General features: G+C 42.6%; 1 long non-coding RNA gene across 1 annotated transcript in view, besides 4 other annotated features; it reads left to right on the forward strand.

Annotated features, from left to right (window-relative positions):
• Positions 6295–6344: an enhancer, noted in NCBI's record as "active region_23071". NCBI's record gives its function as "activates an Ori minimal core promoter by ATAC-STARR-seq in GM12878 lymphoblastoid cells {active_cell/tissue: GM12878}" and the evidence as "EXISTENCE:reporter gene assay evidence [ECO:0000049][PMID:35858748]".
• Positions 6585–6884: a silencer, noted in NCBI's record as "silent region_16318". NCBI's record gives its function as "represses an Ori minimal core promoter by ATAC-STARR-seq in GM12878 lymphoblastoid cells {active_cell/tissue: GM12878}" and the evidence as "EXISTENCE:reporter gene assay evidence [ECO:0000049][PMID:35858748]".
• Positions 6946–13269, forward strand: part of CARINH (colitis associated IRF1 antisense regulator of intestinal homeostasis) — a 65116-nt gene continuing 58792 nt past the window's right edge. Inside the window, exon 1 of the long non-coding RNA NR_161242.1 lies at positions 6946–7058. This is a non-coding gene — a long non-coding RNA (colitis associated IRF1 antisense regulator of intestinal homeostasis). The remainder of the gene's footprint in view (positions 7059–13269) is intronic.
• Positions 6955–7244: a silencer, noted in NCBI's record as "silent region_16319". NCBI's record gives its function as "represses an Ori minimal core promoter by ATAC-STARR-seq in GM12878 lymphoblastoid cells {active_cell/tissue: GM12878}" and the evidence as "EXISTENCE:reporter gene assay evidence [ECO:0000049][PMID:35858748]".
• Positions 11647–11835: a silencer, noted in NCBI's record as "fragment chr5:131751322-131751510 (GRCh37/hg19 assembly coordinates)". NCBI's record gives its function as "represses an EF-1alpha promoter that drives an FKBP-Casp9 reporter gene in an ReSE screen in HepG2 liver carcinoma cells {active_cell/tissue: HepG2}" and the evidence as "EXISTENCE:reporter gene assay evidence [ECO:0000049][PMID:32094911]".

Below are 13269 nucleotides of genomic sequence, written 5' to 3' on the forward strand. Positions count from 1 at the left end.
AGACAGTGTGGCGATTCCTCAAGGATCTAGAACTAGAAATACCATTTGACCCAGCCATCCCATTACTGGGTATATACCCAAAGGATTATAAATCATGCTACTATAAAGACACATGCACACGTATGTTTATTGTGGCACTATTCACAATAGCAAAGACTTGGAAGCAACCCAGTTGTTCATCAATGATAGACTGGATTAAGAAAATGTGGCACATATACACCATGGAATACTATGCAGCCATAAAAAAGGATGAGTTCATGTCCTTTGCAGGGACATGGATAGGCTGGAAACCATCATTCTCAGCAAACTCTCACAACGACAGAAAACCAAACACCACATGGTCTCACTCATAGGTGGGAATTGAACAATGAGAACACATGGATACAGGGCAGGGAACATTACACACCAGGGCCTGTCAGGGGGTGGGAGGCTGAGGGAGGGGTAGCATTAGGAGAAATATCTAATGTAAATGACAAGTTGATGGGTGCAGCAAACCAACATGGCACATGTATACCTATGTAACAAACCTGCACATTGTATACATGTACCCTAGAACTTAAAGTACTTAAAAAAATATGCTAAAGGGCCAGGCACAGTGGCTCATGCCTGTAATCCCAGCACTTTGGGAGGCCAAGGTGGGCAGATCACCTGAGGTTTGGAGTTTGAGACCAGCCTGGTCAATATGGTGAAACTCTGCCTCTACTAAAAATACAAAAATTAGCCAGGCTGGTGGCACATGTCTGTAATCCCAGCTACTTGGGAGGCTGAGGCATGAGAATCACTGGAACTTGGGAGGCAGAGGTTGCAGTGAGCTGAGATTGTGCCACTGCACTCCAGCCTGGACAACAGAACAAGGAGACTCCATCTCAAAAAAAAAAAAAATGCTAAAGGGAGTCTTTCAGGCTAAAATGAAAGGACACTGGCCAGTAACTTGAATACTTGAATCTGCATGAAGGAATAATGAACATGGGGAGAGGTAGATACCTAAGTAAATATAAAGGGCAGTATTAATTTTTTTCCTAACCTCTCTTTTCCTACATAATTTTAAAAGACAACTGCATAAAGCAATAATTAAAAATTTAGGTTGATGGGCATACAATGTGTAAAGATGTAATTTGTGGAAATATAATATAAAGGGAGTAGAGCTGAATAAGAACAAAGTGTTTGCATATTATTGAAATTAACTTGGTATTAATCTAAACCAGGTTGTTACAAATTAATATATGAACTGTAATCTCTAGGGCAATTATTAAGAAAATAAATAAATAATATATACTTTAAAAAGATACAGATTTAGAATTATCCTAGAAAATATGGATTTAACACAAAAGAAAGCAGTAATGAAGGAATTGAGGAGCAAAAAAGATAAAAGACATAGAAAACAAATAGCAAAATGGCAGGAGTAAGCCCTTTTCAGTAATTATATTAAATGTAACTCTTCAATTAAAAGGCAGAGATTCACCAAATAGATTTTAAAATCATGATGCAACTATTATGATGTCTACAACAGTTTCAATTTAGATTCAAAGACACAAATAGGTTGAAAATTAAAAGGTTGGAAAGATCTTCCATACAAATAACCAAAAGAGAGTTTGAATGGCTGTATTAATATCAGACAAATAGATTTTAACAAGACAAAGAAGGTCATTATATTACGATAAAAGGGTCCAAACTTCACATATTTTTAATGCATTTCAACTCCTGATATGACACACTTTTAGCTCTCTATTTCTCCTTGACACTCCTGCCTCCATCCATACGTTGTCCTGCTTCATCTCTGATTATCCCAATTCTATTCATGTTCAAGGTTTACCCCATGACACCCTCTTTCTTGGAGGCACTATGGCTTTGGCTAAGTGCCCAGATCCAGAGTAGATAAAGTATATGGTCCAAAAGTAGATGTCTTCACTTACTAGCTCTATAACTTTGGGGAAGTCACTTAACTTTCCTGAGACTGTTTCCTCAACTGTAAAATTCCTTACCTATATCAGGTTTCTATAAAGATTAAATTAGATCATGCATGTAAATTATAATGTAATTATTGACTCTACAAATAATTAGTCCTTATCATATTATGCTTGGTTCCATGAGGGAAATTGTAACTACCTTTGGCGGAAAAGACAGGCTTATCCCTAAGGTGCTTAAGTAGTACACTCACTGTACATTTGGTAGTTTTAAAAAAAAAAAACTTAACAAATGCTTTTACTCATTCATCCTTGAATGAGAGACACAGCCCTCAGCAAAACATCCTTCATGAAGCCCACACCTACTTCTTTCTCTTTTTAGACCAAGCAGACTAATAGTATCTGGGCTTCCTGACAGCTTGGGAACAAAGCATGTAAACTCGCCTACTGTCAGCCTCCACACCACCATGAGATGGATATGGGCTCCCTGGGGTGTGCAGTTGGTGAGGGAAATGCTATACTTGACTATGACTGAGTGCCACGTTCAAATATTCATGTAGTACTCATGATTTGTGTTCAAGCCTCCTTCCATGGGAAGAACCAGCGGTGGACCTGAAGAGCTCTGCCTTCAAACAGATGATTCACTCAGAACAGGTTGCTGGTGACTGAACCTCAGTGACAGGGTCATCCTTTGACACCCAGCTCTCCAAGGGCACCTTGCTCAGGGAGGCTAAGCTCAGAGCAAAAGTGCCTTTTGGAGTGCTAGCTTCTTTCTACCAACAATGACAGATTTCCATCTGTGCTGCCAAACATGTAAGTTCTTTCCTTAAGGAACACTTATAAAAGATGACTTCCAGGCCGGGTGCAGTGACTCACACCTGTAATCCCAGCACTTTGGGAGGCTGAGGTGGGTGGATCACCTGAGGTCTGGAGTTCGCCACCAGCTTGGCCAACATAAGGAAACCCCGTCTCTACTAAAAATACAAAAATTAGCCAGGTGTGGTGGCGGGTGCCTGTAATCCCAGCTACTTGGGAGGCTGAGGTAGAAGAATCACTTGAACCTGGGAGGCAGAGATTGTAGTGAGCCAAGACCACACCATCACATTCCAGCCTGGGGAACAAGAGCAAAACTCCATCTCAAAAAAAAAAAAAAAGACTTCCTTTTCCCAGAAAACTAAGGGCCCCCCTACATCAAAATTATTTCCCTTTGGCTGTTCAGGAACAATTGCTCATCTCCTTTCGATTTTTTGACTTTTAACTCCTCCTCAAGGAAGTTAAGGGATGTTTTTTGCTATTGGTAGGTTGTGCTTTTCTAGAGGGAAATAGTTCTAGTATTGAGATCTAAACTGAGAATTGCTGATTATCCATGGAACAAGCATTTTAAAAACAAGACCAGACCCTAGCTCCCACAGAGGACATGGTTGATAGCTTAGTACCAAAGCACAAGCATTATCTTCTGAGTGGGAAAGCAGATATGGAGCTTCCTTGCCCACCTGACACCTAAGCCAACATGTGCAGAATTGGAGCCCTCCAAAACTTGGGCCTCTTCCAAGGTTCTCCAAGTCAATGAAGGGCATCATTGTGTCAGCTTGGGTCCTCCTAGAGCAGACACCAAGATGGAATTAAACCTGGAAGAGTTTATTGGGGAAAATGCCTATGAAGAATAAAGAGGAGCAGAAGCAAGAGTAAGCAGAGAGAGCCCCACACCGTAATGCAGGTCTGACCCCTGTGAAAGAGAAGAGGGAAGGATGGAGGAGTAGATAGGAAGAGCCTCAGACTGCAGAGCCATTCTGAGAAAGTGCTGGCCAGACTGACAGGAAGCCCCAGAGTACAGGTGGCCCATTAGAGGAGTTTTGCCTCTGGCATTCCCTCTTATAGCGTCAAATGCATCTTGTAGTATTTAGGATGGCATTCTATATTTGACCAATTATTTGATTGCTTTATTACCTCACTCAAGTGTGTTTCCCGAGGGCAGAGACCACATTTATTTTTGCTCATCACTGAATCCCCAGCATTAGCAGGGTGGCTGCATTTTGTAGTTGCCACAGAATATTTGTTGAATGAAATATCTAAAAGGGTTATTTTTTTCATTTTTATCTGAATCACACATCAGGTATTTTTTTTTCCTAACCAGTGACTCCTAAGTTAGATGCTGCTTGCACCATGCTTTCATTCCATTTATATCATTCTTCAGCTGGGTTGCGTGATCATCAGCTGTGCCCCGCCCCCCAACCCTCCATTGCCCGATTCTGTAGTAAAGTCTTTTGGGACTGGCCTTGGACTTGGACTTTTGCTTCTTTTGTGTCTTTACTGACTATCAGTGCAGGCCTGGATAAAGTTCTTGTTGCAGAACTTGCTACTGCACAAACTTTTGTTCCAGGGTTAGATCAGGAAGGATAGTAAGGAAAACAGAGCTGTCTCCAAAAGGTGGGATAGAAAGCTGTCCTTTAGAAGTTAAATTATAAATCAAGCCAATCAGAGCAAAGATACAAAATGTCTCCATAAAGAAAAATAAGGGCTGAGAGACCTTACTGAGTAATGTTACTCAGTAACGCCTTGCTCTATCTAAAAATGTCCATCTGAGGAGAGGCGGCCTGGGTACCATAATACAGAGAGCCTCATCGACACAAACAGATGGTGTCCACCAGGCCCCATCTAGGGAGAAGGGCTGGCCAGGCCAGCAGGGATGAGTGAACAGTACTTCCTATAGGTTTTGACCTGTGTTGTGGAAAGAGACATCCCACATTGCCCGAGCCTGATATCATCAAACATTTAAGTCAGACAATTCACTCTTCCGATTCTGATTTTAGGCTCACTAAGCCACCTTCTGACTATGGGGCTCCAAACTGCATGGCTACAAGAAGAGAATGTGTTCATCAGGTGGCCTCGAGTCCAGTGTTCCCGACAGTCTTGCTTCTAACAGGAATGGATAAGCTTCAGGTTTTGGGGTCAGATGGCCTTGATTCAAACCCTGCCACTAACATACATAGTAACTATGTGACCTTGGGATTTCCTTCATCTTTTTTTCTCCCAAATGAAAAATAAATAGATTATAATATACCACATGATAGTAGGGAGAAATAATGAGGTAATAATGCATGTAATGCATTTAGCATAGCACTTCTCTAGCAAATAGTGAATGAAATCAGTCAGTTGTCATTCTGACTTTATGCAACAGTGCTAATCGACTCTGGTACACTGGAAGTCAGATGAGATTTTTGGCCCCACAAAGTCAAGGACCAAACCTGGACCTTGGGAAGTTGCCAAGATGAAAAACATCAGGCCGGCCTTGACCTCCTGATGCTCTCTGTTCACATGTGTGATGTCTATAAAAGGTAACCAGGATTTGGCTTATCTGCTTACATCTCTTCCTGTCTTTTCCTGATCTTCATCTTCCCAAACATAGTTTTTATGCAGAAGCAGATTTAACTCTACTTTGCTATCTTGGAGTCAAGAATTGTCCTATAAGGAGGAAGAGGCTCCAAGGCTTGCCTTTTTTGTTTTTTCTTTTTCCTTCATACTACAGACTAAAAGTAGCATCTTCTGGACAGAGAAACAGGCTGTTGTTTTTCTAAGGTCATCATTTGGCCTGCCCCACTTTCCCACCTGCTCTTGAGGGAACTATTGCAAGGACACATACAAGCCCCTACATCAGTCACAGACCAGGGCCTCCATCTTGCAGGGAATGTGCCCAAATTACAAACAGGTAAACCAAAGTGACTCTGGGCAGATTTAATAGCTCATTTTGGTTTCTTGTTCCAGTTATAACAGACTGCTCTGTGTTTGCTCTATGGCAAAAACTTTTATGTTTGCTTTGCAACAAACGTACAGACAGGGCAAACTGTGTTTGGAGTATGGTGTCTTACCAATGTTTTCTAAAAGCAAGTGAATAGAAATGCTTGCAAAAGTATTTTCAGACCTCAGTGGCCAGCGCTGAACACCGCTGTAGGAATGTCCATCAAACGTTGTGGCCATGCTCCACTCTAACAAAAACCTGGTTCCGTGGCATAATTGTGGGGGCTAATTGTCAGGCTAAGTTTCAGACACCTTCCAAAAAAAATTGCAGGGCTTCCTCAGTCTTTAAACTCCAGATAATATTGTCCAAACTTTGACAACTAACCTGTTATCATGGAGATAGCTCCAAGTTGATGGACTGGCCATTAGAGAATGTCTATCAAGCATCCAGGTAAATGACTTGGTTGCTGCCCTCAAGGAACCCACTTAGAGGCTGTCAGAAAATTTTAAGTATTTTCTTCCTTCTATTGTTCATTCCTAAAATTCTGGCAGTAGGTATGATTATTATTATTCCCATCCCACAGGGGAAGTAATTAAGTCTAACTACTTGAATATTTTGCCCCAAATCACTGACAGTAAGAGACGGCCAGACACTGAAACCTGGAATCTCTAAATGTTTAGATATTGATGGGCACCGCTTAGACCAGGGAGTCCAAACCATAGGCTTGCTGTTCCAGTTTCTCTTATCGGATGAAGGGACCCCCATTTCACCGACGTCATTGACTTTTGGGTTCTCCGCTGACCCCAGATGAGATGCCTGGTACCTCATGGTCAAGTCCCCTCCAACGGGGACTCCTCAGAGGCTTGGTCCCAGTTGCTCAGGCTGCCATCTGCCTCCTCAGGCCAGAGCCCGAGGCGCCGCCAGCGGTCAGGTCCCGGGCCGGCTGCCAGCCACAGGCCCAAGTAAACGCTGAATGAAGGGCAGATGGAGGAACCTGTCCCGGTCGGCCGAAGCGCCGCGGGCGCCTTTCCACTTACGGCGGGCCTGCCCAGCCTCCCGCCCAGCCCGGGCCCGGGTCCCGCCGAGGCAGGTGTGCGTGGCGGACTAGCTCTCGGGCACTCGGCTGGCCCAGCTCCACCCCGAACGCCACCGGGCCAGGCCACGCGCAGACCCGAGCCCGGGGCCCCCGCCTCTGGCTGCCGGCCCGCGCCCGCCGCGCGCCCCGCGTTCACTGCGCGCTCGGCCCCGGTCCCGCCTCCCGGAGGGTTTCGCTTTCGCTTTCCTGCCGATGTCGTTGAGGAAAATGAAAGCGGTCGTGGCCAGGACTGGCGCAGCTGCCGTTTCAGGCGAGGGGCGCAGAATGCAGCGGCCGCCAGCCTGGAGCGCGGGCCCTGGGGCCGCAACCCGCGCCGGGCGAGGTAAGCACAGCCCCTTCGCGGCCGCCTCGCGGGCTCCTCCTTGCGGACCCGGCGGGCCCGACGCCAGGCGTTTGACCCGGGCAGGGTCAGGGGTTCTGCCGTGGGGGCGGGGAGGGCCTGAGAAGCGGCACCCTTGGGTTTCGTGGCTTTGAGCCTCCAGGCCAGGCTGGAAGACCTGGGAGGCCTCAGACAAGCGTGCCAAGGGGCTAGCAGCCCGGGGTCGAGCTGGAACCGTGGCAAGTCGGGCCACCTGAGCACGCCTTTCCCTTTTGTAGAGCACCGACCTCCCTGGGTGTTGGTAAAAATCAAAAGTGGGAGGGTGTACGTAAAATGCTGAACAGAATGCCTAACCTGAGCTCATAATCTACTCCCTCTGACCTGTCAGACTCATTTTTCCCACTGGGCCCCACCCCATACCTCATGTAGTTTGCTTAAGTTTCCTAGATCTGGTGCACCTGGGGGCACTTGGAGTGCCTTCCAAGTGTTCCTTGACCGAGCAAGCTGGCAGCTCATCTCCCTTGATCACGGGCATGGAGAGCAACTAGGCCAGGATGTGGCCCCCTTGCCCTGGCCCTGTCCATGTGAAGTCAGGGCCTTACTCTGCTGGGGCCCCCATCCCGGGGCTAGCATAGATGTCAGGGATAGGTGCACTCACAGACCGAGTCCTTCCCAGACCAGGAAATTTCCAGTCCACTGCATCTGCCAGCAGAAGCATGAAAGATGCGTGCCACCTTGTCTTTGCCCTTCGTCAAGTATAGCCAACTCATTCTTGGTATGCAGGAAGGGGGTTCCACCCCAGGGCTGTGGAAACAGCCCCTGCCCTTAGGGCGTTCCCATCCCCTGAAGAGAGAAAATATGTATTCAAGTTACCCATCAGGCAGGTTGTGTAGAACAAGGACAGGTGAGTGAAAGAGCTAAGAGCTGAGAGTAAAGTGACTAAATCATCAGAAACTTTACATTTAAGTTATGACAGGTTTTGCAGGCCAATACCAAGAATCCCCTTTAACTCAATTTTTGTCTCAATAATAATGAATTCAGCCTAATCACACAGATCTGATCATACGGCCCATTACTGAAACAAAACTTGAATGATCTTTACTTTGAGAAAACCATCTGAATTTGACAAAAGATGGTCTAAGTTCCTAAGTTTCAAAACATGGAGTCCGCCGCTGCCCTACCTCAGCAGGATGGTGTTGAGTACTGATTGCTTTTAGAAAATGCTGCTCTTGCCGGGCACGGTGGCTCACGCCTGTAATCCCAGCACTTCAGGAGGCCGAGGCGGGCTGATTACCTGAGGTCGGGAGTTTGAGACCAGCCTGACAAACATGGAGAAACCCCGTCTCTACTAAAAATACAAAATTAGCCAGGCATTGTGGCACATGCCTGTAATCCCAGCTACTTGGGAGGCTGAGGTAGGAGAATTGCTTGAACCCGGGAGGCGGAGGTTGCAGTGAGCCAAGATCGCGCCACTGCACTCCAGCCTCGGCAACAAGAGCTAAACTCCGTCTAAAAAAAACAAAGAAAGAAAAAAAGAAAATAGAGAAAATGCTGCTGTTTTCATGAGCCAGAAAATTAGATGCACTTCCATTCACATTCCATTGGCATGGACTAGTCTCATGGGTCTCACCTAATTGTAAGGTGGCTGGGAAATGTAGCCTGGTGGTGTTCCCAGGAGGAAAAGAACGAGAGACTGGTGAGCACTAGTAACCTCTTCCACAATCGACTAATGTGGTGAATTACTTTATCATGATGTATTTGTAATACACTTTCGTATTTGATTAGATAATATTTTATTTAGGAGTTTAACATCTATGTTTATAAGTGAAACTATCCTGTATTTTTCTTTATTTGTACAGTCCATATTTAACATTTCAAAATCAAGTAACAAATTGGGCAATGTTTTCTCTTTTTTTCTATTTTCTAAAGCAACTCCATTAAGATAGAGATTTTCTGCTCCTTGGAAGTTAGTAGGAGGCACTTGTAAAATCTTCTGGGTCTGAAACTCTATGGGGAAGAGGTTTCAAAATTATTTGAGTCTCTTAAGTGGTTATTCACATTTTTGTGCCAAATTTGGCAATTTTTATTGTCTAGAAATTATTCATTTCATCTGTATTTTCAAATGTATTATCATGTGTTTATATTATTCCTTTATAAGTTTTAAAATGTCTGTTTTATTTGTCATTTCTTCCTTTTTCTGTAATCTCATTTTTAAAAAATCTTCTGTCAGTTATTCTTGATCAGTCTCACTAGAGGTTTGTCTACTTTCAAATAAATACTTCAAGTTTTGTTAACCACCTTTTTTTTGGTCCTCTATGTCCTCTATTTTGCTGATTCTGCCCTTATGTTTATTATTCCATTTTTTCATGTTTCTTTAGTCATATGCTTTTGTAATAAATTCAAACAGTATAGACATTTGTAAAGTGAGACAGGAAAGTCCACTTCAGCCTCCATAGGCAACCACAGATATCATATTGGTGTGTTTTTCTGGACCCTTTCCTATGCTTATACAAATATTTTTCTACAACTTTCTAAACTGAAACTCATAGGTAAACTGCTCTTTATAGGCAACCACAGATATCATATTGGTGTGTTTTTCTGGACCCTTTCCTATGCTTATACAAATATATTTCTACATCTTTCTAAACTGAAACTCATGGGCCTCTTTCTGTGGTGTATACACACACATACACATACATACACACACATACACATCCATTAAAATGGAATACATACCATAATTTATCCATTTTCCATTTATGGGCATTTAGGGTGAAAGTCTTGGTCTTTTAACAATGGAATTTAATTCATTCATATTTATTTTGATCACTGATAAATGTGGTCTTATTTTTGCCATCTTGTTTTGCCATGTATTTATCATGTGTGTTTTTTTTTTCCTTGTGACTCTATGGATTCATCAAAGTGTATTTGTCCCCTGTTTCTTCTTTCCTTCTTTTTATTCAGTGAGTTGGAAGTTCTATATCTTACAATAGGCCATCATTTAGTTCTTAAGCTTAGATAAACTTGTATTTTTGTCTCTGGCAAAAATTAATCAGAACCTATAACCTCCTTCCAAACATAATAAATCTTTTTTTTTATTTTTTGTTTTTGTTTTTGTTTTTGAGATGGAGTCTCGCTCTGTCACCCAGGCTGGAGTGCAGTGGTACAATCTCAGCTCTCTGCAACCTCCACCTCCCGGGCTCAAGCACTTCACCTGTCTCAGCCTCCCGAGTAGCTGGGACTACAGGTCCCACCATGCCCAGCTAATTTTTGTATTTTTAGCAGAGACGGGGTTTCACCATGTTGGCCAGGATGGTCTCAATCTCTTGACCTAGTGATCCACCCGCCTCAGCCTCCCAAAGTGCTGGAATTACATAAGTATGTTTTCTCACGTCTCTTTTTCCTTACCTTTTCCCCACAGGCACATATACACATAGGTATCTGCCTGGGAATTATTAAAATAACCTGAACAATTCCAATTGTTATTAATTCTTCTTGCTTCAAAATACAATTTCCTTTTTCTATGTTAGAAATATTAACAATTGCATTAATCTACAATCTAACCTATTTGTGCAATTGCATATTATACCAGGATAGGAAAGTTTAAACATGTATTTCTTTTAGACTTTTCATTGAATTGCTGAAAATTCATAGTGAATTGTATCTTGAGTAATGCTTCTCTGAGTCTCTTATTTCCCAAAAGTATACTTTGGAATCCATGCAATTCTGATCGTTGTTTGACCTTTGCTGGCACAAAGGCATTCTGAAATATTTGCAAATGCTAAAGTCACTTCCTCATCTTTTACAGAGTTTACTTCAGCTTGGTGAAACCAAGTGCAGTATCAGTTTGTTGTAAGCTTACCACTAATTAAAGGTTCATAAAATAGCCCTGCCCTAGGGTCAGGGACTAGCTAGAAGAGCATGAAAATAGCCTTTGAAGATTCAGCTGCTGGATATTTTACATCAAAAAGCTGAAACGTTTTAACTATTTTAATATTTTGTTTATAGTACTTAATATTTGTGAACGTGAAGTAAAATGGACACAGTCATAGTAAAACTGTGGTAAAACTAACTTGGATGGTGTTTGGGCTGTGGTTATCAGAAGCTGCTTAAAGTGTCCATGCCTTTTATCCCAGTTCTACTTCCAGGAATATGTCCTAAGGCATGTTTTCATATGAGGTTATTTCAGGTGGCGCAGGGTAATTCTAGTTGGGACACATTTGCCACATTGTCTAACACTGACTCACAGTGAGAAAGTTATTCCCATGCTCAATTCCTTTTCAGTCTTCTGATCAACGGAAGGTGAAAAACTTTAGCTTGGTGCTAGCATACCTTTAACACCTCTCTAAGCCTCTCTAATCTCCCATTTTATATAAAAGAATGGGCAAAGGGGTAGCAGTATTTTGACTATATTTTAACCACAGTGTTTTTTTATTCCAATAAAACCTATTATGATTGCCTTCATTTATGGCATATGATGTTGGTTTTCCACTTAAATAAGGTTTGTTTGTTTGTTTGTTTGTTTTTTGAGACAGAGTCTTGTCCTGTTGTCCAGGCTAGAGTGCAGTGGCATGATCTTGGCTCACTGCAACTTCTGCTTCATAGGTTCAAGCGATTCTTGTGCCTCAGCCTCTTGAGTAGCTGGGACTACAGGCACGCACCACCACACCCGGCTGATTTTTTGTATTTTTAGTACAGACGGGGTTTCGCCATGTTGCCCAGGCTGGTCTTGAACTCTTGAGCTCAGGCAATCCGCCTGCCTTGTTTTCCCAAAGTGCTAGGATTACAGGTGTGAGCCACTACACCGAGTCAGGTTTGCTTTTAAAATACATTTGTTTAAGGACAGAAATGAGTTGATGTAAAGAGAAATGTTAAGTACATTACAGATGGTAATTAATTATAGCAAAATAGTAATGGCAATGCATGGATGTAGGAAATAGGACCCTAAGGAAATAATCAGAGCTATAGACATAGATTTATATCTAGGGATATTCCCGTAGATGAGGAGGTTCCTCCCAATGACTTATGTTACCATAAAGTTAGAAACTACTCAGTTGTTCAGCAATTAGGGATTGGTTAAGTGATTTTCCTACTTTCATATGATGGAATACTAGCATTATGAAAAACTGTATTTAATACATGGAGGATTATATACTGTTATATAAAACTGGTTATAAAAGTATATACAGTATTGTAATTTTGTTAAAAATGAAGTATGAGTGTGTGTGTGTGTGTGTGTGTGTGTGTGCGCGCGCCTGTGCCGAAATCAATGGGGAAAAAAGACTGGAAGAAAATATTTCCAAATGGGTTATCTCTGGATCATTGGACTACAGGAGTTGTTTGTGTTTTCCAGTAATAGACATGTCACTTTTGTCACCAGAAAAATATATCTATTTTTAAATTAACATGCTCCTACACTGACAGGACTACCTGGTATTTTGTCATCTGCAGGCATTCCTGGGTCCTTTCATGTTCTTACAATTCAGTTAGGTCCCTGTGGCCTGCTGCAACATCATGGGGAAATAGTACGGTTAAGACGTCATTGTCATCTCTCAGTACAGTCCAAGGTACTTGGTTTTGGAGTGTGCATATTTATATTTTTGGAGTAGAATGGGAGAATGTTTCTAAAATTCTCTCGAATAATTTTTATTGCTTTTTCTTCTTGACAGCTCCATTAAACAGGACCAAATTAGGATCCCATTTTTTAAGTAGGTCTGGATTATTAAGCAAGAATAGAGTAGACGCTGAGTCTCCTAGTTTCTTGTTTAGTCTTTCTTTAATTTCTGCATTTTCTGCTGACCATGAAGTTTTTAGATGTTAGATTTAATCATGGTTCTGTATCACCTGTGTTGGAGATGTGTATATTTAAATCTGGACACCTCTCTTCCAGAATTACAAAATCTCTGTTCACGGAAAAAAAAAAAAAAAGTTCGCTGCAAGGCTTAATGCTTGGCAGAAATAATTGCTACCTTTTGCCTAGTAAAAATTCCCCACGTGTTCTTTCTTAGGGCTTGTTCCTGGAGACTCTTGAACTTTTTTGTGGGAATGGGGTTGGCAGGTTAAGTGAGTAAATGGTGCATCTGCCTGGGAGTGGTCTACAGCCCTGGTGTGAGCTTCCTCCTTCTGTAAAGCTGCTGGGCTGTAGCCAGGGTGAGCCAGCCAGGGCCTGAGCCTGAAAGAGGCCTGTTGTGGCATTCCAGTAACATCTGCCAGA

This window comes from Homo sapiens, chromosome 5 (assembly GCF_000001405.40).
Source record: "Homo sapiens chromosome 5, GRCh38.p14 Primary Assembly".
Classification (NCBI taxonomy): domain Eukaryota; kingdom Metazoa; phylum Chordata; class Mammalia; order Primates; family Hominidae; genus Homo; species Homo sapiens.